Source organism: Homo sapiens, chromosome 7 (genome assembly GCF_000001405.40).
Source record: "Homo sapiens chromosome 7, GRCh38.p14 Primary Assembly".
NCBI lineage: Eukaryota > Metazoa > Chordata > Mammalia > Primates > Hominidae > Homo > Homo sapiens.
Genome location: NC_000007.14, coordinates 20,609,003 through 20,631,437, shown reverse-complemented (window position 1 = coordinate 20,631,437; position 22,435 = coordinate 20,609,003). Strand labels below are relative to the sequence as shown.

The 22,435-nt window shown below is 35.2% G+C and overlaps 1 protein-coding gene across 1 annotated transcript in view; it reads right to left on the bottom strand.

Moving 5' to 3' along the window:
• ABCB5 (ATP binding cassette subfamily B member 5) overlaps nt 1-15,771 on the bottom strand; it is a 141,342-nt gene extending 125,571 nt beyond the window's left edge. Inside the window, exons 1-4 of the mRNA NM_001163941.2 lie at nt 15,601-15,771; nt 8,100-8,173; nt 4,827-4,881; nt 2,600-2,750 (exon numbers count right to left, since the gene is read on the bottom strand). Of these exons, the coding sequence (NP_001157413.1) occupies nt 2,600-2,750; nt 4,827-4,881; nt 8,100-8,152 (259 nt within the window). The 5' untranslated portion in view covers nt 8,153-8,173; nt 15,601-15,771. The remainder of the gene's footprint in view (nt 1-2,599; nt 2,751-4,826; nt 4,882-8,099; nt 8,174-15,600) is intronic.
• Nucleotides 15,772-22,435: the final 6,664 nt, after the last annotated feature.

Genomic DNA, 22,435 nt, shown 5'->3' with positions numbered 1-22,435 from the left:
ACTTCTATAATCAACATTTGAAATAACTGCAGACATCATGACTCTTCATCTGTTATAACCATAACATCATCACATATTACAATGCTTATGATCTTTATTTATATGCAAACAATCATTTCTCCCTTATTCTATTTATGGAATTGTGGTAGGAAAAAATACCAAAATTCATGTGGCAGAAATGGAGATTTCAATGAGATTTAACTGAGCAAATAAAGGAAATAAACATTGTTTCTAAAAATGGTTCCTGCAGTCTTATAAAAATGGCATAATCTCAGTGTGTAGATTATATTGATAGAGGTAATATTTTGGAAAGTTCAGGACTCACACAAAAATGGATCCCCAACTAATGATAGCTATTATTCATATTTTTATTTATAGGAACGAATAATCCTGCTCTATTATCCTCCGGAAAACCAATGTTAGAAGGTTGAAGATTTGCCTCTTAATATCCCTACTTCTCTTTAACAATGTGTTATAATATACCAGTAATATCCATGAATTTATGTAAATCATTATTGAACTTCTCTATATGTTTACCACATTCAATAAAACCAGGAAACTGGCGAAGCCTTGAACAACAAGAAAAATTAGAATTCACAGCAATAGCAATTAGATATGTAGTGCCTAGCCTATCCAAAACAGGTAAGGCAATCAATTACAGAATAAACTTAACAAAAAGCATACGCCCAAGCAGATGGCCTTAGGTTGCCAGGTTGCCCATTTACTCACACATTCATTCATTCATTTGTTCATGGAGATGTAGTAGACAATCAATAAATGTTTACTCAGTGAATTGGCTCCATTTGTTTAACAACAAATTATTTAGCATATGCATCAATTTACATCATTAATATATCAGATTTTCACTTATATCCTTAATTTTGTTCATATTATTAAAATATTTAAAAAATCATAACTGTTTAAGCAGGAGATCATGGAAAGACAGAGATGGAAGCAATGGGTTTATCCCACTCAAGATTAGCACACGTAAAAGATTTACTTTTGAGTTTAAAGATTTTTTTTTGCTTTAAAGATTTTTTTTTTTGCTTTAAAGATTTGCTTTTTGGAAAACAAGAAGGTATAATTTAGGTATAAATTAGAATTTAAAGTCAAATAGAGCACAGAGGGAAGTAGACTGAACAAAGAAAGGCTAATGTTGATGAAAAGACAGTCTGGGTTGTAATGAGTTATTTTTCCCAGTTATAATAAGTATTTATAACAATACTTCCAGTGTGGAATTTGGGGAAAAGCATATAAAATCAGGAAATTACTAATATTTATAATATCCACCAGATAAAAAATACTGCATAGTCATTACATCAGTGCATAGGAAAATCACTGGAATTTAACCTAAAGAATAATGTCACCTTGAAAGACATGACCCTGAAATAGGAGGCTACAAACGATACACGAAAGATGCCTACAGATAAGAGCAATATGAAAACACCTTTTCCACACCTAATTGCTAGTTCCTCTCACCACCAATTCAGGGTATCTGTCTCTAGTTGTATAATTTTCTGCTTCTCTTCTGCATTATGTTATATAGTGCCATGCATGGCTAAAAACTACTACCAAAAAACCCCCAAAAACCTAAGTAGCTACTAAACTGAAAGATTTGATCATACTTGATTATTTCTTCTTCTTCTTCTTCTCCTTCTCCTTCTTTTTTTTCTTTGAGATGGAGTTTCGCTCTTGTTGCCCAGGCTGGAGTGCAATGGTGCAATCTTGGCTCAATGCAACCTCTGCCTCCTGGGTTCAAACAATTCTCCTGCCTCAGCCTCCCGAGTAGCTGGGATTACAGGCACCTGCTACCATGGCTGGCTAATTTTTTGTATTTTAATAGAGACGGGGTTTCACCATGTTGGCCAGGCTAGTATCGAACTCCTGACCTCAGGTGATCCACTGGTCTCAGCCTCCCAAAGTGCAGGATTACAGGCATGAGCCACTGCACCCGGCCTTGATTTCTTCTTTTTAAAGGATGTGTTACATCCTAGTGGCCTGGGATGGCCCAAGCGTTTGATTAAATCCTGATGTAATCACCACTTCTGATAAAAAGTTATTTGAATTCTTAGAGAGACAAGCTGAACTATTGTGGGCTTCAGATGATTCCTACGTAACGTCAGCAAATGGCTTTCTGATTTGAACTGCAACATTGGCTCTCTGCTGAGTCCCCAGCATGCCAGCCCACCCTCTTGAACTCACCAGCCTCTATAACCATGTGAGCCAGCCAATTCTTTAAAATCTCACTCTTTACACACACACACACACACACACACACACACACACACACACGCAGTCTCTCTCTCTCTTTGTTTCTAACGCACATCCTATCCATGCTGTTTCTCTGGAGAACCCTGACTAATAGGGGATTTTGTTTCTTATTTATTTATTTATTTATTTTAATTCAATTATAGACCTCTGTGGTCATGAAGATTTTGTTTCTTTAGTGCCCAGCAATATGGCAGAATAAATGACTTAAATACATATTATACAGATACTGTTTTACAATACAATAATCTGCCTTGCTAGCTTAACGTTTGTTTGCTTTATTCAATGCTTTTGTGTCTTAAGTGATACAGAAAAATAATCGTATACTCACTTGTGTTAGTTTGGACTAGACATCCACTAATAAGGTTATCACTCATTTCTCCTAAAACCAGTGGCATTAAAGGAAGGCAGGCTCCATTGACCAGTGATGCCAGTATACCCAGGATCATGAGTGTGATGTCCAGTCCATCAGCAAAGCGGAACTGAGGAAAACAAAGCACGGTAGCACCACAACTGTAAAACAAACAAACACACCAAGCACACACACACACACACAACAGCCTACAGCCTTTGCCACCTAGTAAACATGACTTTATACATTAAGATGGTAAATAAGTGCATAAAATCATAGATATGTATTTATATCTAAAGTAAAAACAAATACCAAAATTAAGAATTTACCATCTCCTTTAAAGGCATTAAAAAACAAAGCAGCTGACTATTCACAATAGCAGACTTGGAACCAACCCAAATATCTATCAATGATAGACTGGATTAAGAAAATATGGCACATATACACCATGGACTACTATGCAGCCATAAAAATGGATGAGTTCATGTCCTTTGCAGGGACATGGATGAAGCTGGAAACCATCATACTCAGCAAACTATTACAAGGACAGAAAACCAAACACCGCATGTTCTCACTCATAGGTGGGAGTTGAACAATGAGAACACATGGACACAGGGTGGGGAACATCACACACCGGGGCCTGTTGTGGGGTGGGAGGCTGGGGGAGGGATAGTATTAGGAGAAATACCTAATGTAAATGTCAAGTTGATAGGTGCAGCAAACCAACATGGCACATGTATACATATGTAACAAACCTGCACGTTGTGAACATGTACCCTAGAACTTAAAGTATAGTAATAATAAAAATAAATAAAGCAGCTAAATCAGTACAAATTGTAGATACCTGACACAAGTCAGGTCAGATGTGGGTATGAATCAGAAACTTTATTCCATTTGGTTGATTTTGGAATAAGTTAAGATATTCTGAAGACTGCAACAACAATATCTTAGTTTATGGAAAGCTGATCTGCACATTTTCAACGCTCTGGCTCACCGGCATCATGGCAATGTCATGGCTAAGTGCAGTGACCAGAGCTAACTAGTAAAAATGTAATGAATTATATTTGTGATTATTTTAAATTCCTTAGATTTTTTTTTCTACACAGAACAATGCCTATCCTGTAAATAGGATATTTAAGGGGGTCAATGATAATTTTAAGGGCTGTTTTGAATAAGAAAGAAATGCCTGAAAGCCATCTATTGAATGCTTTATATTCTATTCTGTAGTAGGTCCCCATAGCATCTGTCCAAAACCAAATCATGAGCAAAATTGAAAATATGGATTGTTTATATTACCGAGAGAGGCCAAAATAAAATTTAAATGGTATTAAAATGTAATTAGATTTTAATAACAGCAAGAGGAACTTACTGCATATTTTATGAATGGAGACCAAAATATTATTTTTCCATTCATCGTTGCAATAGCTAATAAATATTTATAGTGTTACTTCCACAGCATTGCATTCAGCATTACGGACATTAAGAGAGTATCTGCTCCTCTACCTTCCTCCAGAATAATGTTATCTCCTTGATAAAGTTTGTCATGTTCTGCTACTATTCAGTTTTTTTTAAATTGACTTTTGAAAAAGCAGGCTGTTTCATGTATATTTGTAGGGACATAACATTGACAGCCAGGCTGACACAGAGATTAGAGTGGGTGAAGACCATGTCTGGGAACACATGCATGAAACGCTCCTTAAACATGATTTCAAAGAAGTGTACAGACACATTATCTGATACATAGGCTTTAAAAAATTCTTAGATAATTATTTTTGATTTAAAAGGATTTGTAACACTATAAAAATAATAACAACACATAACAATGCAGAATCATTGGAATATACTGAAATGTAAACATAGATAGTAAAAGTCACTGATAATTTCCCACCACTCAGAAATATCCTTTGGTAACATTTATGTATGATACACACACACACACACACACACACACACACACACACACCCCAAAAACACTTTTAAAACACTGAGTCATTATGTGGATGTTATGCTATTTTTCCCTATCCTTTATTGTAAAATTTTGAGATTGTTTATATTTTTTCTATCGAAAATCATACTTTAATGAATTATTTTAGTTCCCTCTTTCCCACAAATAGTGGATGCAATCTAATAAACACAATCTTCTATGCACTACTGACAAGTCTCTAAAATCTTCTAATGCATGTACTTTCTAACTGATTTCACTTACTATCTCAATAGATCCAACTGCTTCCTTTCTCAGTTTTGGCTGTTCTTCTGCAGTTCTGGAAAATAAAAGTTCAAAATGCAGCAGTTACAATGTGAATATAATTTGCAAAATTTTTCCATTAATAGTTTGCAGAAGTGTCAGATATCACCTTGGTAGCAAATTTATACCAACACTGAAATTTTAAAAATAAACTTAATGATAGACAGTTGTCACTGGTTGTCTGTAAACTTGTTAGGGTAGCAACTTGAAGACGTGTCTGGAGGAGAATTTTTTAAAGTTGTGGTAAAATAGATATAATGTAGACTTTATCTTCTTGAATAATTTTAATTGTATAACCAAGGTACTAAGTACAGTCACATTGTTGTGCCACCATTTATTTTGATTTACCCACAGAACTCTTTACTTTGCAAAACTAAGCCTCTGTACACATTAAACATTTTCCCATTGTCCCCATCTCCCAGCCCCTGGCAACCGCGGTTCTATTTTGCCTCTATGAATCTGACTGCTCTGGGCACCTCAGAAAAATAGAATCATATAGCATTTCTCCTTCTGTGTCTGTTTCGTCTGGCTGTCTTCAAAGTTCATCCTTGAATTATTCACTTAGCATAAAGTCTTCATGTTTCATCCACATTGTAGTAGGTGTTGGAATTTTTCTACTCTTTAAGGCTGTATAGTATTCCATTATATGTTTTTGCCACGTTTTGTTGAGCACTTAGACTGCTTCCACATTTTGGCTATTCCTAGTAACGCTGTTAGGAATATGAGTGTACAAATATCTCTTCAACTCACTGGTTTTAATTCTTTTGAGTATATACCCGGAAGTAGAATTGCTGGGTTACATGTTAAACCTATTATTGATTTTTTGAGGAACATTCACACTGCACCATAGCAACTGCACCATTTTACATTCCTGCCAGAACAAGGATTCCAGTTTCTCTATATCCTCACCAACACTTGTTCATTCCTTTTTCTTTTCTTAGTATTAGCCATCATAATGAGTATGAAGTGGTGGATTGCAATTTTTAACCTTTAGTAACAAAATCTGAGCTTTAAATGAAATGAGTTCTATTAGGTACACATTAAGCAAGTGTACTCTTAATTTTGTCTCCCTTTTTGAAAATTTCATTTCTTAGCTTTGTATGCTCACATTTCAAGGAGGTCCAAATGAAAGCTGTACATTGTATCCACTGATTTCACAGCAATCTGTCAGTTACACACACACACACATGCACGCGCAAAATTCTGAAACATTAAGAGAAGACTGTAGGGAACAGTTTAAGTTTTCTATACAGACACAACAGGAAGACAAACATCCGGCTCCTCTCCTGCTTTATAACGCATTGTTCTGTCAGCTTTGATAAATGACAATTCACTTAATTTTATTCCACATGAGGTTAATAATTTACTTGAGTTCCGGTCAATTTGCTCTGGGCTGAGGCATGAGATGACAAAAGAATGCTTTACCATTGCAAAACCCTACAATCCCTTTCCTCACCTCTAGATGCGGATTTTGAAGCTTAACACCCAGTAAACCCTCTTCTCTTGATAAAAGTTGTTTCAGGGAAATAATTTCTAACTCCGATTGACCTTCATGGAAAGGTTTCGAAGGAGGGCTTGGGTCGTTTTGTGAAAGTCTCTTTATCAGCGTTGACATAAGAAAGCAACATGTGGGCAGGTGGGCGGGTTTGGGGGTCTCCTCCCTCTACACAGCTCTTGGGGCCAAGTGTCCTTTGGCAAAGGCCAAGGGCGGAGCCTGAGGCGCCCAGAGGAAACTGATTCCATTGTGCGGGTCACAGCCGCACTAGCTCCTAGTCCTAGCGTGCCCGTTGCTGGTTTTCAAGCTGGAGGGGATCTTAGCGATGTTGGTGGCCCAGTACTTTCATTAGCGCAAATCAGCATGGCCCAGAGCAGCGAAGATTCTGCTCTTAGCTCCAGTTGTGTCACCTCCACCTAATAGGAATCCTTCCTGTATTTCATGGCCAGACCCCACACCTATATCTCACTAATTTCACTTTTCAGGGCCCATCCAACCCCTACCTTCAATTCCTGTTGCTATTTTCTTTCATATTGTTTTCTCCTATTCTCTCCAGTCATGGAAACTAGAAAAATCAACCACCTCCCCATTCTAATTTTCTGTGCGATAGCATATAGATGCAGTTTGCTGTTGGTATTGCTACTGACCTGTTAGTTTTTTTGGTTCACCAATGAGGTCTGTAGTGTATTATTATCATGACCACTTTAAAGATGAAGAAACAGTCACAGGGTAAAACAACCCAAGTTTATGTAGCTAGTGATTGAACTTCAGTCTGACGCCAGAACCCAAACTCTTAACTGTACAGTTACAATGCTTCCTGTGGAATATATGCCGAACACATGATTTAGTCAGTCCACAGGTAATGCTTAAGAGCACAAATGTATTCTAAAATAAACCTGTCCCCTCAGCATCCCCTTACACCAGGATGCTGGGGCATCTTTAGATAATGTTTTGAATTTATGAGGAAAAGGTGCTTAGAAAGGAGAACATTTACTTTGGGAAAATAACAACAAAAACATTAAAGGAGAAGTTTGGAATGCAGTTCTTTTGATTTTCAAAATGTTCCTAAATGGAATTTGCTTTAGCCTAAGGAAGTTTCTGATTCTGACTCACAAGAAAATGGTATCGCTGGAATGCCCTCTCTGGCTATTTTCTGAATTAATAAACTACATGACCTGGAGGGATCTTCTCCAGTTTTATAGATTGTATGTCCAAATATAACACAATTATTATGGTAAAAGTGGAAATAAAATAGATGTAAAACTATTTCCATTTAAAAACTCTCAATTAATGAATTCCACGTGTAGAAACTTGTATAACATACATATTCACAGAGACATCTATTCAGAGAGAAAATAATCGGAATCGAATATTTTCTTTTATTAAAGGTACCACATGGAATGAAGGGTCCACAGAGAATTGAAATTAAAATTTGCAGGTGCCTTTCTTCTGTATAATGGTGGACAAGAAATTAACGATGAGAAATTCAGAAGAGGAGATATCTGAAGCACTAAATCAATAAATCCTGGATAAATAAATCCTATTACAATTAATCCTATTGCAGTTCCTAAAATCACTATTAAATTAATTATAAGACTGCTTATGTTCAAGTTCAGCAAAATGCAAATAGTGTTGCTATTTTTGGGAAAAAATTATAAACATTTTTGCTATAGGTGTGGAAAGGATGAGTTATATTTGAAGTTGTGGAAGCATACTTACAGAACTTAGTGAGAGCTTACCCATTTCTCTGATAATTTTCTTGCATTTCTTCAGCTCTTTCTGAATTTTCCATCTTATTTACAATTTACTTCTTCTGAAATACAATTTTAACAAATGTATTATGGCTATGTGACTTTTATCACTTAGTTGATATACAGCATTCTTTACATCCCACATCTCTCACAGTTTGAAAAAGGAAGCATCTCAGAATTTCGCCCTGCCCAGCCCCCCACTCCAATTGAAGTTTCTGGCTAGGCAGTTCATAGATTCAAATTTTGTCATTGAATTTATAACTTCCTTGCTTCATTCTAGGCTTAGATTTGGAGCTAATGAAAGTGTTAGAATTGGAATAAAAGAAGGAAAGTCAGATTCCACGGAAAATGCACTGTTTGTCAGGATATTAGATATTCCTACTTTGCCATTCATTTGACTGGAATTGGTGAAAATTTTTAATCTATCTCATGCTGTTTTCTCTTTAAAAAACTGATGCAGTAGTTTTTATTAGCCAGCAGTTTGAGGGAATAGGGTTTTCTAGTTTACGAAACAAACAAAGTTTGGAGCTTTCACAAACTGGATTAACAGTTACAAAAAATTAGAATATTTTGAAAATCCATTCATCATTAAAATTGTATTAAGCATAATTTACTCTTCCTTGGGATGATACTTGAGGATCTTACCTTGTCTTAAGATCACAGTTATGTTCATAAATTATAAATTATCATTTTATTATGGATCTATAGAGATGGTTGTGACTCAGTCTCAGTTGTTAGGCCCTATAACATATTACCCTATATAAAGACAATTATAAAGATATGGCTTTAAACTTTAAAGTGGAATTACAAATTAATTAAAGAGTACCTAAGCATCTGAAAAAGCTAATAAGCTTTCAAATAGTAAACTTCTCATTGAAAGTGGATCAGAACTGCTTTTAGCACCAAGGAGGAAGGCATAATACAAATACAGCCATCTGTTGGCTTATTCTTCCTTTTACAGAAGTAAATGGTCATACTTCATATGGGAGATATTTACAACTGCTAAACTGACTTTACACCATCTCCAGTAATCTGACATGTATGTAAGAAAAATAAAATGATTGACAAATCTCAAACATTTGCATTTTATAGAAATTAACAATTATGTAATGAAATGCATCCATCCATAGAAAGAAATCAAAACAATTAAGCCTCGCCTTGGTAAGTGCATGATCTGTCCATTTAAACCAAAATCATGTATGCGTTCTATTCTCAATAAATAATGAGCTGCACTTTCATAACTGTGCTTTACCAAGCTTATCTTCTGATCATGCTGTAACTGATTAGAACACTGGTTAGTATCCAGGTAAAGCACGTTGTGTTCTTCATGTCATACTGCACTTGGGAAACAGTATGAGCAAAGGAAGTCCACTGAGCCAAATAAACACTCTTTTTAAAAAGAGCCATAGTGTCTGTATACCTGGTTTTCTATTGCACAGTCCCATATCTTTTTGGTTAGTTGGTTGAATTCTTAATTATAATAGGTAAAATTTTAACAAGTCAACAGCACATTTGCACAAGAAATATTTATTGAGTAATACTTTACGCAAGGCGTTGATTTTATTACTTTATTATTGCTCCCTAAAAATCACCTCCTTCTCTGATTTCCTTTTGCTCTTTGCTTGTGTCTGTATTATATTCGTGACACATTCTGCATTATATTGCAAATCCTAGTTACCCTATTAGATCATATATTTTTCTCTCTTTCCTCATGAAGAATTGAAAAAAGTATTGAGCTTATATGATGTGCCAGCTACTAGTTTGTAGAATCAAAAGATATGTTTCCTTTTCCTGAGGAACCCCATGTTTTATTCTTTACTCTAGACCGTAGTCTTACTACTCAGAATGGTCCCAAGAGCAGCAGCATAGGCACCAGCCTAGACATGATTAAAAATGCAGAACTTTTTTAAAGTCTTTTAATTTTATCAAAATATACATAACAAAATTTAACATTTTACCATCTGAAGTACACAATTCAGTGGGATTAAGTGCATACTCAATGTTGTATAACCATCACCATATCTATCTTCAGAACTTTTTCATCATCACAAACTGAAATTCTATATCCATTAAACAATAACTTCTGTTATCTCCTACTGGCAGTCTCTGGTAACCTCTGTTTTACTGGGTCTATGAATTTGACTATTGTAGGTGTCTCACATAAATGGAATCATACAATATTTTTTCTTTTGTATCTGGCTTATTTCACTTAACATAATGTTTTCAAGGTTCATCAATGTATCACAATTTTATTCCTTTTTAAGGCTGAATACTATTCTGGTGCACATATATAGTACATTTTTTTAAAGTGACACATCTGTTGATGGACACTTGGATTGTTTTCACCTTTTGGCTATTGTGAATAATGTTTTCTGTGAACATTGGCATAGAAGTATTTGTTTGAGTATCCTCGTTTCAGTTCTTTTGGGTATATACTTAGATGTAGAATTGCTGGATCAAGCGGTTAGTCTATGTTTAACTTTTTGAGAAATATTCATACTGTTTTTCTTAGCAGCTGTATTATTTTACATTCCTACGAGCAATGTACAAGGCTTTCAATTTCTCCATGTCCTCACTAACACTTGTTATTTTCTGATTAATGGACAATAGAAATCCTAGTGGGTGTGATGTGGTATCTCATTGTGGTTGCGATTTGCAATTCCCTAATGACTAGTGATGTTGAGTATCTCATATGCTTACTGCTCATTTGTATATCTTCTGTGAAGAAATGTCTATTCAAATCTGTTGCCCATTTTAAAATTAGGTTTTTGGTTTTTTTTTATAGTAAGTTGTAGGTGTTCTTTATATATTCTGGATATTATTAAGTACGTGATTTGCAAATATTTTGTTTTATTATGTGGATTGTCTTTCTTCTCTCTGGGTAGTTTCCTTTAATAAGCAAAAGTTTTCAATCTTGAAGAAAAAATTATCTACGTTTTTATTGTTTTTGTGTGTGTTTTTGGCATCATATCTAAGAAATCTTTGCCAAATCCAGTGTCAAAAATTTTTTCCCATGTGTTTTTCTGGAGTTGGATAATTTTCACACTTATGATTAGGTCTTTAACCTATTTTTGAGTTGGTTTTTTATATGGTGTAAAGTAAGAGTTCAACTTCATTCTTTTGAATGTGGATATCCAGTTTTACTTGTTAAATAGACTGTCCTTTCTGATATTTTCTAATCTATAAGCAATCCTAAAGAAAAAGAACAAAGCTAAACACATCACATTACCTGACTTCAAAGTATACTATAAGGCTACAGTAACCAAAACAGCATGGTATTGGTGCAAAAAGAGACACACAGATCAATGGAACAGAATTCAGGACCCAGAAATAAAGCAGGGCACCCATAGCCATCTGATCGTTAACAAAGTCAACAAAAATAAACAATGGGGAAATGACTCCAAAAAATGGTGCTGGGATACCTGGCTAGCCATATGCAGAAGAATGAAACTGGACCCCTACATTTCACCATAGATAAAAATTAACTCAAGATTGATTAAAGATTTAAATGTAAAACCTGAAACTATAAAAACCCTGGAAGAAAACTTAAGAAATATCCTTGTTGTCATCGGCCTTGGCAAAGAATATACAGCCTATCCTCAAAGCAATTGTGACAGAAGCAAAAATTGGCAGATGGGACCTAAGTAAACTAAAGAGCTTCTGCACAGCAAGAGAAACTTCAACAAAGTAAACACATAACCTACAAAATGAGAGAAAATATGTGCAAACTCTGCATCCTACAAAGGTCTAATATCTAGAATCTATAAGAAACTTAACTCAAGAAGCAAAAAAACAAATAACCCCATTAAAAATGGGCAAAGGACATGAACAAACACTTCTCAAGAGAAGACATACAAGTGGCCAACAAACATAAAATGCTAATCGTCACTAATCATGAGAAAATTGTAAATCAAAACCACAATGAGATACCACTTCACACCAATCAGAATGGCTATTATCAAAAAGTCAAAAAATAACAGATACTGGCAAGGCTGTGGAGAAGAGGGAACACTTATATAAGGCTGGTGGGAATGTAAATTAGTTCAGCCACTGTGGAAAGCAGTGTGGTGATTTCTCAAAGAACTTAAAACAGAACTACCATTCAACCCAACAATTCCAAAGGAAAATAAATCATGCTACACAACAGACGCATGCACTCTTATGTTTATGACAGCACTATTCACAATAGCAGACACATGGAAGCAACCTGGGTGCCTTCGATGGTGAATTGCATAAAGAAAATGTGGTACGTGGCTGGGCATGGTGGCTCAAGCCTGTAATCCCAGCAGTTTGGGAGGCCGAAGTAGGTGGATCACTTGAGGCCAGGAGTTTGAGAGCAGCCTGGACAACATGGTGAAACCCCGTCTCCACTAAAGGTACAAAAATTAGCCTGCCATGGTGGTACATGCCTGTAGTCTCAGCTACTTGGGTGGCTGAGGCAGGAGAATCTCTTGAACCCGGGAGGTGGAGGTTGCAGTGAGCTGAGATCGTGCCACTGCACTCCAGCCTGGGTGACAGAACAAGATTCCATCTCAAAAAAAAAAAAAAAAAAAAAAAAAAAAGAAAATGCAGCACATATATGCCATGAAATCTTTTGTAGCAACATAAATGCAGCTGGAGGCTATTATCTTAAGTGAATTAACATGGAAACAGAAAACCAAATGTTGTATGTTTTCACTGATAAATGGGAGCTGAACATTGGGTCCACATGGACATAAAGATGAGAAAAATAGCCACTGGAGACTATCAGAGGTGGGAGAGAGGAAGGGGAGAAGGTGCTGAAAAACTACCTACCGAGTACTATGCTCACTACCTGGGCGAAGGGATTATTCACACCTCAATCCTCAGTGTCACACAATGAACTCATGTAACAAACCTGCCTGCACAGGTAAGCTCTAAATCTAAAATAAAAGTTGAAATTATATAAAAGGTGAAGATAGCCATATAAATGAAATACTGATACATGCTACATAAATAAACCTTGAAAGTATTATGGTAAGTACAATAACCCAATCACGAAAGACAACATACTATATAATTCCATTAATATGAAGTGCCTAGAGCAGGCAAATCCATAGAGAAAAAAGTAAGTTAGTAGTTGCTGGGTGGAGGAGAAATAGAGATGACAGCTAATGAGAGGGATACAGGGTTTCTTTTCAAGATGATAAAACCACTATAAATTGAATGTGGTGATGGCTGCTCAACTCTATGAATATACAAAAACTTTTGAATTGTACATCTTAAATGGGTACATTCTATGATATGTGAATTATATCTCAATAAAGCTGTTAGCAAAAAAGGGTAATCTTAAAGTTTCTAACCATTATTACAGAAGTTTTTATTTCTCTCTGCTTCTGTCAGTGTTTATTTAGGAGCTGTGATATTTTGTGGCTGTGTGCTTATAGTTGTTATATCTTCTTGGTGATTTGACTGTTTTATCACTATCTAATGTTCTTTGTTGTCTCTTATAAAAGGTTTTGACTTGAGGTGTAACTTGTCTGGATATTACTATAACCATTCCAGCTCTCTTTTGGTTAATATTTGCAGGATTATCTCTTTTTATCCTTTTGATTTTAACCTATTTGCCTTTAGATCTAAAATGATTCTCTTATTGACAGCATACAGTTAGATTATATATTTTTAATCCATTATAAAAATGCGATTTTTGGGTCTCACTCTAAAACTTCTGAATAGAATCTGCATTTTAACAAGATTGTCGAAGTGGTTTGTAATGCATATCAAATTTTGAGAAACATGACTATATAGTATCTAGCACAAAGCCTTGAGAAACAGAAGGCACTACTTATCTAGAGGAAATTTTATCTTCCTAAATCCAAGATTATAAAAATAAAGTTTAAAATACACCTTAGTGCTGACAACATATTGTTTTTATCTGCTGTTAATAGCACAGTTTTAAAGTATTGTCAAAGGACCTCTGGCATCAGAATCACCTGGAGTGCATGTTAAAGATATCAGACACCTACCTAGGCCTTGCCCCACATGTACTGAATGATAATCTAAAGAAATGCACTGGAAAAAAATCTACATTTTAAACAAGCTCATTAGATGATTTTTTAAAAAAATTTACTCATTCTATAGATATATACTGTGCCAGGTACTGTTTTAAGCACTGAACAGCCTAGACATCTTTGCTGTCATAGAGCTTAGACTCCATTACAGGGAGAGTCACAATTTTAAAAAAAGGCATACATAAATAAGGAAAATTAGAGAGTGGTCAGTTTTTGGTATATAATTAAAACAGGGTAATTTTATGAAGAGTAATGTGGTATTTATATACATCTGGTCAGAGAAAGCCCCTTGTAGAAGATAATGTTTAAGCTGCAATCTGAATTATAAAAGGAGGTTGCTATATAAAGATCAAAAAGACTATCCCAGGCAGAAGGAATACTATTTAGATAGTAGAGAAAAGTGCACTGAGACAAAGCGACACAAGGTCAAAGCAATTTGTGAGCCAGTTGGCAGGTCCTCACTGTATGGAAAGCTACAGGTTGACTATGATGGCTGCCCCCATGTTCCTCTCTGTTACCCAATGTTTCAAAAGGAAGATAAATTTAACTTGAAACTTGTCAAGTTTGAGATATTTGTGAGATAATCAGGTAGTAATATCCAGCACTAAGTAGATAACATGAGAGAAGAACTCTGAACATCTTAATTGCTCTACACAAAATCTATCAGTCAGCCAATTCTTACTTATTGACAGCTGTGTGGATGCTATCATGGCAAGTACTATGGAACATACAAGAAAATGTAAAAATAGACAGAATATTTTATTTATAAGGACTTTTGCCTTAAAAAATATTTCTAGGTTCATGTACCAAGATGGAAATCATAGGACAAAATACCCATGTGAGAAGAAATCATGAGATGCACTTAACGTTCAAGCATCCTTGGTAAGAATAATCTGACAAATAGCTAAGATATACTGGTTGGATGGAAAACATGGGATCTTTGGTTAGATGAAAGAAGATATGGCTGGGCGCAGTGGCTCATGCCTGTAATCCCAGCACTTTGGGAGGCCAAGGCGGCTGGATCATCTGAGGTCAGGAGTTCGAGACCAGCCTGTCCAACAAGGTGAAACCCCATCTCTACTAAAAATAAAAAAATTAGCTGGGCATGGTGCTGGGCACCTGCAATCCCAGCTACTCAGAAGGCTGAGCCAGGAAAATCTCTTGAACCCTGGAGGCGGAGGTTGCAGTGAGCCAACATCGTGCCACTGCACTCCAGCCTGGGTGACAGAGTGAGACCCTGTCACAGGGAAAGAAAGAAAGAAGATATGAATTGTATGGATGCTTTAAAATGACCAAAATAATAGTAGGATGATCATTTCTGACTATGAAAAAGTTTCATACACACACATTTTTGTTTCCATCTTTACCACAAACTATTCTTTCTAAGATGGAGAAGTGTTTTATATTCTTCACAAGCTTCAATTGTTTTCATAATCTCTAATACTTTTGCTTTGACTTACTTTAATTCCTTAGATGCTGTTTTGAGTGGGCCCCATCCAGTCAGTTGAAGTCCTTAAGAGAAAAGACTGAAGTCTTCTGAAGAGGATAGGATAAAGCTTTCAGATACAAGGTATCAATTTTTTGCCAGAATTTCCAGCCTTCTAGTCTGGCTTGTGGATTTTGGAAGTGCCAGTCACCACAATTACATGAGCGTGTTTTCTCTTTCTCTCTCTACATACACACACACACACACACACACACACACACACACACACGGCCTATTGATTCTATTTCTCTAGGGGAACCTAATATACCTGGCAAGACAGACGTTATGTGATGAATAGTACAAAGAGTGACTATTCTAGTATCTAAGAAGACTGAGGAAGAACATTGTGATCTAAAATGGTTTCGCCCACAGATGAGGATGGCCCTGAGGTTAGTTTCTGGAGGAAGGCTAAGGTTTCAGTAAGTAGAAAAATGTGGAGGAGGAACAAGGGCATAGTTTTAGGAATGCAAGGTGAATTATCTCATGGTAGAGAAATGAGAACGGTTTGGATAGGATGGACTGTTCATGCAGAAATGGAGAGAGAGATAAGGTACATACGATTGTAAAAGGCACTGAACCAATTTTTAGGACAACTTTTATAATTTTCTGGAATGAAAGAGACAAAGCCATTGGTATTTGGTACAATTAACCTGATTATTTGACATTACAGCCATGGATATACTGGAAGGACTTGGGGAAACACAAGATTTAAGTAGACTCATTAAAATCTAGTTTGATAGCAGTAAGTAAGACTATTTGAGAGGTATTTTTAAGGCGGTAGGTAGGTAAAGAGGACAAGGAAGAAGAAATAAAAAAAATATAAGTTCAGCGATCAAACTTTTAAAAGTTGTAACAAAAGAGTAGTAAAGATGGTAATAGAGAAGTTATGAGACAGAATTGGTTTTGGGGAAATGGTAACATTCAGTTTAAATATGCAAATTTGGGTTGATATTGGTGTCCAAGTGAAAATATCTGGCAAACAGATGTAAATGTGGCACTAATAATTAGGAAAATTGCCAACCTAGAGATAAACTTGCAATTGTCATATGCACAGAAGGAATAATTAATTTTGCTTTAAAAATCTCATGATGTCATCTAAATGCACAGAAGTGGTGTAATGTAGCTAAAAGTGTTACTTCTAGAGCAGAGCCATCCAACAGAACTTTCTGCAATAATTGAGATATTCTCCACACATCCAATATCCTAGCCGCTACACATATGTGGCTATTGAGCGCTTTTAATGTGCCTAGTGAGGGAGCTGAATTTTGAGTTTTATATAATTTTAATTAATTTATTTTATTTATTCAGCTTTAATATGTATAATTGACAAATACTATTGTCTATATTTAAGGTTTACAACATGATGATGTGATATACATATACATTGTGAAATGATTACTGCAATGAGCACATCCATCACTTCACATATTTACGTGTTTGTGTGTGTGCGTGTCTGGTGAGAACGCTTAAGATCTACTCTCTTAGCAAATTTCAAATATACAATACAGAATTATTAACTGTAGTCACCATCCTGTACCCATCTTATAACTGGAAGTTTGTACCCTTTGACCAACATCTCCCCATTTCCTCCACCTCCTAGTCTCTGGTAACCACCATGCTACTGTCTGCTTCTAGGAGTTTGACTTTTTTTGGATTTCACACATATCTCTGGCTTATTTCACACAACATAATGTCTTCCAGTTCCATCCACGTTGTCACAAATGACAAAGTTCCCTTCTTTTTTATGACTGAATAATATTGCTTTTCTTTATCGATTCATGTGTCAATGGACACTTTGGTTGTTTCCATATATTGGCTGGTGAGAATAATGCCGCAATGGACAGGGGAGTGCAGATACCTCTTTGAAATACTGATTTCATTTCCTTGGGGTATATACCTAGAAGTGAGATTGCTGGATCAGATGGCAATTCTGTTTTTAATTTTTTTAGGAAACTTGATGCTCTTTTCCATAATGGCAGTACCAATTGACATTCCCACCAAAAGTGCACAAGGTTCCCTTTTTCCATACCCCTGTTACCTCTTATCTTTTTTATAATAGCCATTCTAAAGCTAGAAGGTGATATCCCATTGTGTTTTTTATTTGTATTTCTCTGATGATTACTGATGTTGAGCACCTTTTCATGTACCTGTTGGCTGTTTGTATGTCTTATTTGGGAAAAAATATCTATTTGGGTCTTTGCCTACTTTTAAATGGGGTTATTTGTCTTTTTGTTATTGAGTTGTATGAGTTTCTTATATACTTTGGGTGTTAACGCATTATTCAAAATGTGGTTTGCAAATATTTTCTTCCATTGTGTAGATTGTCTTTTATTTTATTTTCTTGAAATGGAGTCTTGCTCTGTTGCCCAGGCAGAATGTCTCACTCTGTAGGGATGGGGTTTCACCATGTTGGCCAGGATGGTCTCGAGCTCCTGACCTCACGTAATCCGCCTGCCTCAGTCTCCCAAAGTACTGGAATTACAGGTGTGAGCCACCACGACTGGCCCTTTTTCATTTTGTTGCTTGTTTTCTTTGCTGTGCAGAGGTTTTAAGTTTGATGTAGTGCCACTTTTTTGCCTTTGTTGCCTGTGCTTTTGGTGTTATGTTCAAAATATCACTGCCAAGATCAATGTCAGGGAGGTTTTCTCTATGTTTTCTCCTAGGACCTTTATAGTTTTAGGTTTTACATTTAAGTCTTAATTCATTTTGAGTTAGTTTCTGTGAGTGGTGTGAAATTGGGGTCTAATTTCATTATTTTGCATGTGAATATCTGTTTTCTCAAAACCATGTATTGAAGAGATTATCTTTCCTCCACTGTGTATTTCTGGCATCTTGTTAAAGATCAGTTGATCATTTACATGTGGATTTATGTGTAGTTGTAGTTTGTTCATTGTAATTGTTGAATAATATTTCATCTTGTGAATATACCACCATTTAATTTTTCATTCTACTACTGTTGGTGGACATTTGGCTCATTTCTGGGCTTGGAGTATTAGGAAGAGTGCTATTATGAATACTATCATGCATGTTTTTTGGTAAACATATTATCTTTGTTGGATATATACAAAGGTGAAATTGCTAGGTCATAGGATATGTATGTGTTTAACTTTAGCTGAAGGAGCCAAATAGTTTGTCAAAGTGCTTGCACCCTCTGTGTGCTCACCAGCAGTGCATGAGAGGTCCACTTGCTCCATATTCTCAACAATGTTTGGCATAATGATTCTTTTCAATAGTCATTATGGTGGGTGCAGTGGTGTATGGTTTTGCTGTGTCCCCACCCAAATCTCATCTTGAATTGTAATCCCCATGTGTCAACGGAGGGACCTGTAATCCCAACATATCGAGGGAGGGAGGTGATGGGATCATGGGGGAGGTTCCCCCATGCTGTTCTCGTGATAGTGAGTCCTCATGAGAACTGATGGTTTTACAACTGTTTGGAAGTTCCTACTTCATCCTTCTCTCTCTCCTGCCACCCTGTGAGGGTGCCTGCTTCCCCTTCCACCATGATTGTAAGTTTCCTGAGGGTTCCCCAGCCAGGTAGAACTGTAAGTCAATTAAACCTCTTTCCTTTATAAATTACCCAGTCTCAGGTAGCTCTTTATAGCAGTGTGAAAATGTACTAACACAAGTGGTATTTACATTGAGGTTTTGTTGCTTTTCTTTGGTAATTTATAAAGCTAAGCGCTCTTTCATATATTTTTTATTGGCTACTTGGATATCTTTTTGTGCAGTGCCTGTTCAAGTCAGTCTTCTGCTCATTACTATATTGTGCTATTTGAAATTTTCTTATTGATTTGTAGGAGTATTTTAAGTGGACCCTATATGATTTCTTTGTTGGGAATATGAATTGCAAATGTTTTTCCAATTCTGTGGGGTACATTATTTTTCTCTTGATGTTTTTATCTTGATGAATGTATATTCTCCAACAATATAGTGCTATATGTTATTTTTTCCCTTACAGTTAGCCTTTTTTTTTTCCTGTTAAAGAAATCTTTGTTTATTCCAAGGTCACAAAGATGTTATCTTACATTTTCTTGTATAAGTTCACATTTGAGCATTCACATTTTGATCTAAAATCCATCTGAAATTAATTTTTGTGTGAGGTAGATACACTTTTTTCCCCAATAAGAATATTCAGTTGACCCAACACCTTTTATGACAGAGGTTCTTCTTTCTTAACTATCTCAATATGTCATCTTTGTTACAAATGATACATATGTGTGGGTCGGCTTTGTTCTATTGCTCTGTTTCTATGTCCTTGTCCTGTCTTCATTACTATAGCTTTGTAATAGGTCTTTCCTTCTGCTGTTTAAGTCCTACAGTTTTGTTCTTTCGGTTGCCTTGATTATGCTTGGTCTCTTTGTTTTCAATATAAATTTTAAGATGAAACACTCCTTTTCCACAAATGAATTACTTCTGGCATTTTAACTGATTTAAACTTGTAGATATGTTTAAAAAATTGATATATGTATAATATAGCATTTTTCAATCCATAAACGTAATGTATCTTTTCATTTATTTAGGTCTTCTGTAGTTTTTCTAAGTAATGCTTTATAGTTTTGACTATAGCTGTCTTACACATACATCATTAGATTTTCCCATAGGTATTTGATATTCTTTGATGTTAGTATATATGGTTTTTTGAAAAATTGTTTTCTGTTTGTGGTTGGCACTCAGAACTAATTGATTTCTATAATACAGAACATTTTAAAATTGATTTTTATGTTAACCTTGCATCTAGTAATTGGGTTACTGAATCTAATGGTTTGCTGTTTTTTTTTATTTTCTATGATGCTAATTTTATTTATTAATTATAGAATCTTGTTTTGATTTTTTTGCATTATTACATTTGGTAGGTCATTCTGTTTAATTTTTAATAGAACAGATTATAGCAAGTATCTTGTCTCAACCTTTTTCTCAGAGAGATAGCTTATAATATTTTATAATTAAATGCAATTTTTACTATAACTTTTGGGAACTATCCTTTCCCAGATTAAGAAAGTTTCCTTTCATTTCTAATTTGCTGAGAGTTTTAAATTATAATTGTATGGTAAAATTCATCCAATTGTTTTTCTGCCTCTATGGAAATAACCACATATTATTTTTCTGCTTTATTCTTTTGATGTGGTAGATTACAACAACTTTATGATATGTTTAGATTTACAAAAGAAATTGTGAAGATAGGATAGAGAGTTCCTATAGGATACAGAATTCTTATATACCCCTTTCCCCACATGCACACAATTTTCCATTATTATTTTTAGCATTGTTTTCCAATCTCATCCTTACTTTTTACAAATTTTATTTTTTGAAAAAATTTTAATTTTTTTGGCAAATTGTAGCTGTATATAATTGTGGGGTACACAGTGATGTTATGATATATGTATACGGTGTGGAGTGATTGAAGCAAGCTAATTAACATAGCCATCACCTTAAATACTTGTCATTTATTCCTCCTATCTAACTGCAACTTTGCATCCTTTGATGAATATCTCCCCATTTCTCCTTATCCCCGTAGCCTCTGATAACCACCATTCTACTCTTTGGTTCTATGAGTTTGGTTGTTTTATAATTCACATGAGATTCCTCATGTAAGGTTTTTCTCTTTCTGTGCCTGGCCTATTTTACTTTGCATAATGTCCTCCAGGTTTCTCCATGTTGTTTTGTTGTTTTAAATGACAGAATTTCTTTTTTAAAAAGACTGAATAGTATTCCCTTGTATACATACCACATATTCCTTATCCATTCATCTGATGATGGATATTTAGGTTGATTTCATCATTTGGCTATTGTGAATAATGCTGCAACGTACATGGGAGTGCAAATATCTGACATACTGATTTCAAGTCCTTGGGATATATCTCCAACAGTGAAATTGCTGGATCATGTGGTAATTCTGTCATTAGTTTTTGTTTTAATCATACCATTTTCCATAATGGTTGTACTAATTTGCATTACCACCAACAGTGTACAGGTGTTCCTTTTTCTCCACCCCACTATTATTAACATCTTACATTAGAGCAGTTGATTTTTGAATGTTAAACATCTCTGCATTTCCGGAATAAACCATGCTTGGCCAAGATATTTATCCTTTTTATATATGGTTAATTTTTAAATATTTTCTTTACATATGTTTTCTTTGTATTTTCTTTATATGTGGTTATGTTTCATATGCTGTTATTTTGTTTATGATTTTTGCACCTATGCTTAAGGGAAATTTGTCTGTAAATTTTTTTTGGTGATGTTTTTATCTAATTATAATGTTTTCATAAAAAGAGTTGGGAAATATTCCCTTTTTATTCCCTGAAAAAGTTTATAGGAAAAACAGTGTTATTTCTTTCTTAAATATTTGGAAGAGTGTAGTAATGAGGTCCTGTGGGTCTGGAGTTGTTTTGTGGAAGTTTTTAACACTGGATTTCAGCTTTTTAGTAAGAATTTAGTTATTCAGATTTTCTGTTTCTTCTTGTGTCCGTTTTTGGTGAGATGCATTTCAAAAGGAATTTCTCCAAATTTTGAATTTTATCTTTTAAATTATTTATAATATCCTGTTTTTATCTTTTTAATGTATAAAGAACACTTTTTTATTTCTAACATTGGTGACTTGTACTATGAGGAGAATCACTTGAATCCAGGAGGCAGAGGCTGCAGTGAGCTGAGATCACACGACTGCACTCCAGCCTGGGCGACAGAGCAAAACTCCATCTGAAAAAAAAAAAAAATTGTTACTTGATTGAAAGATACAGTAAAATACAAACAAAAGGGTATTCTTCTTTTAAATTTTATAAAGTTATTGAATATAAAATTAAGAA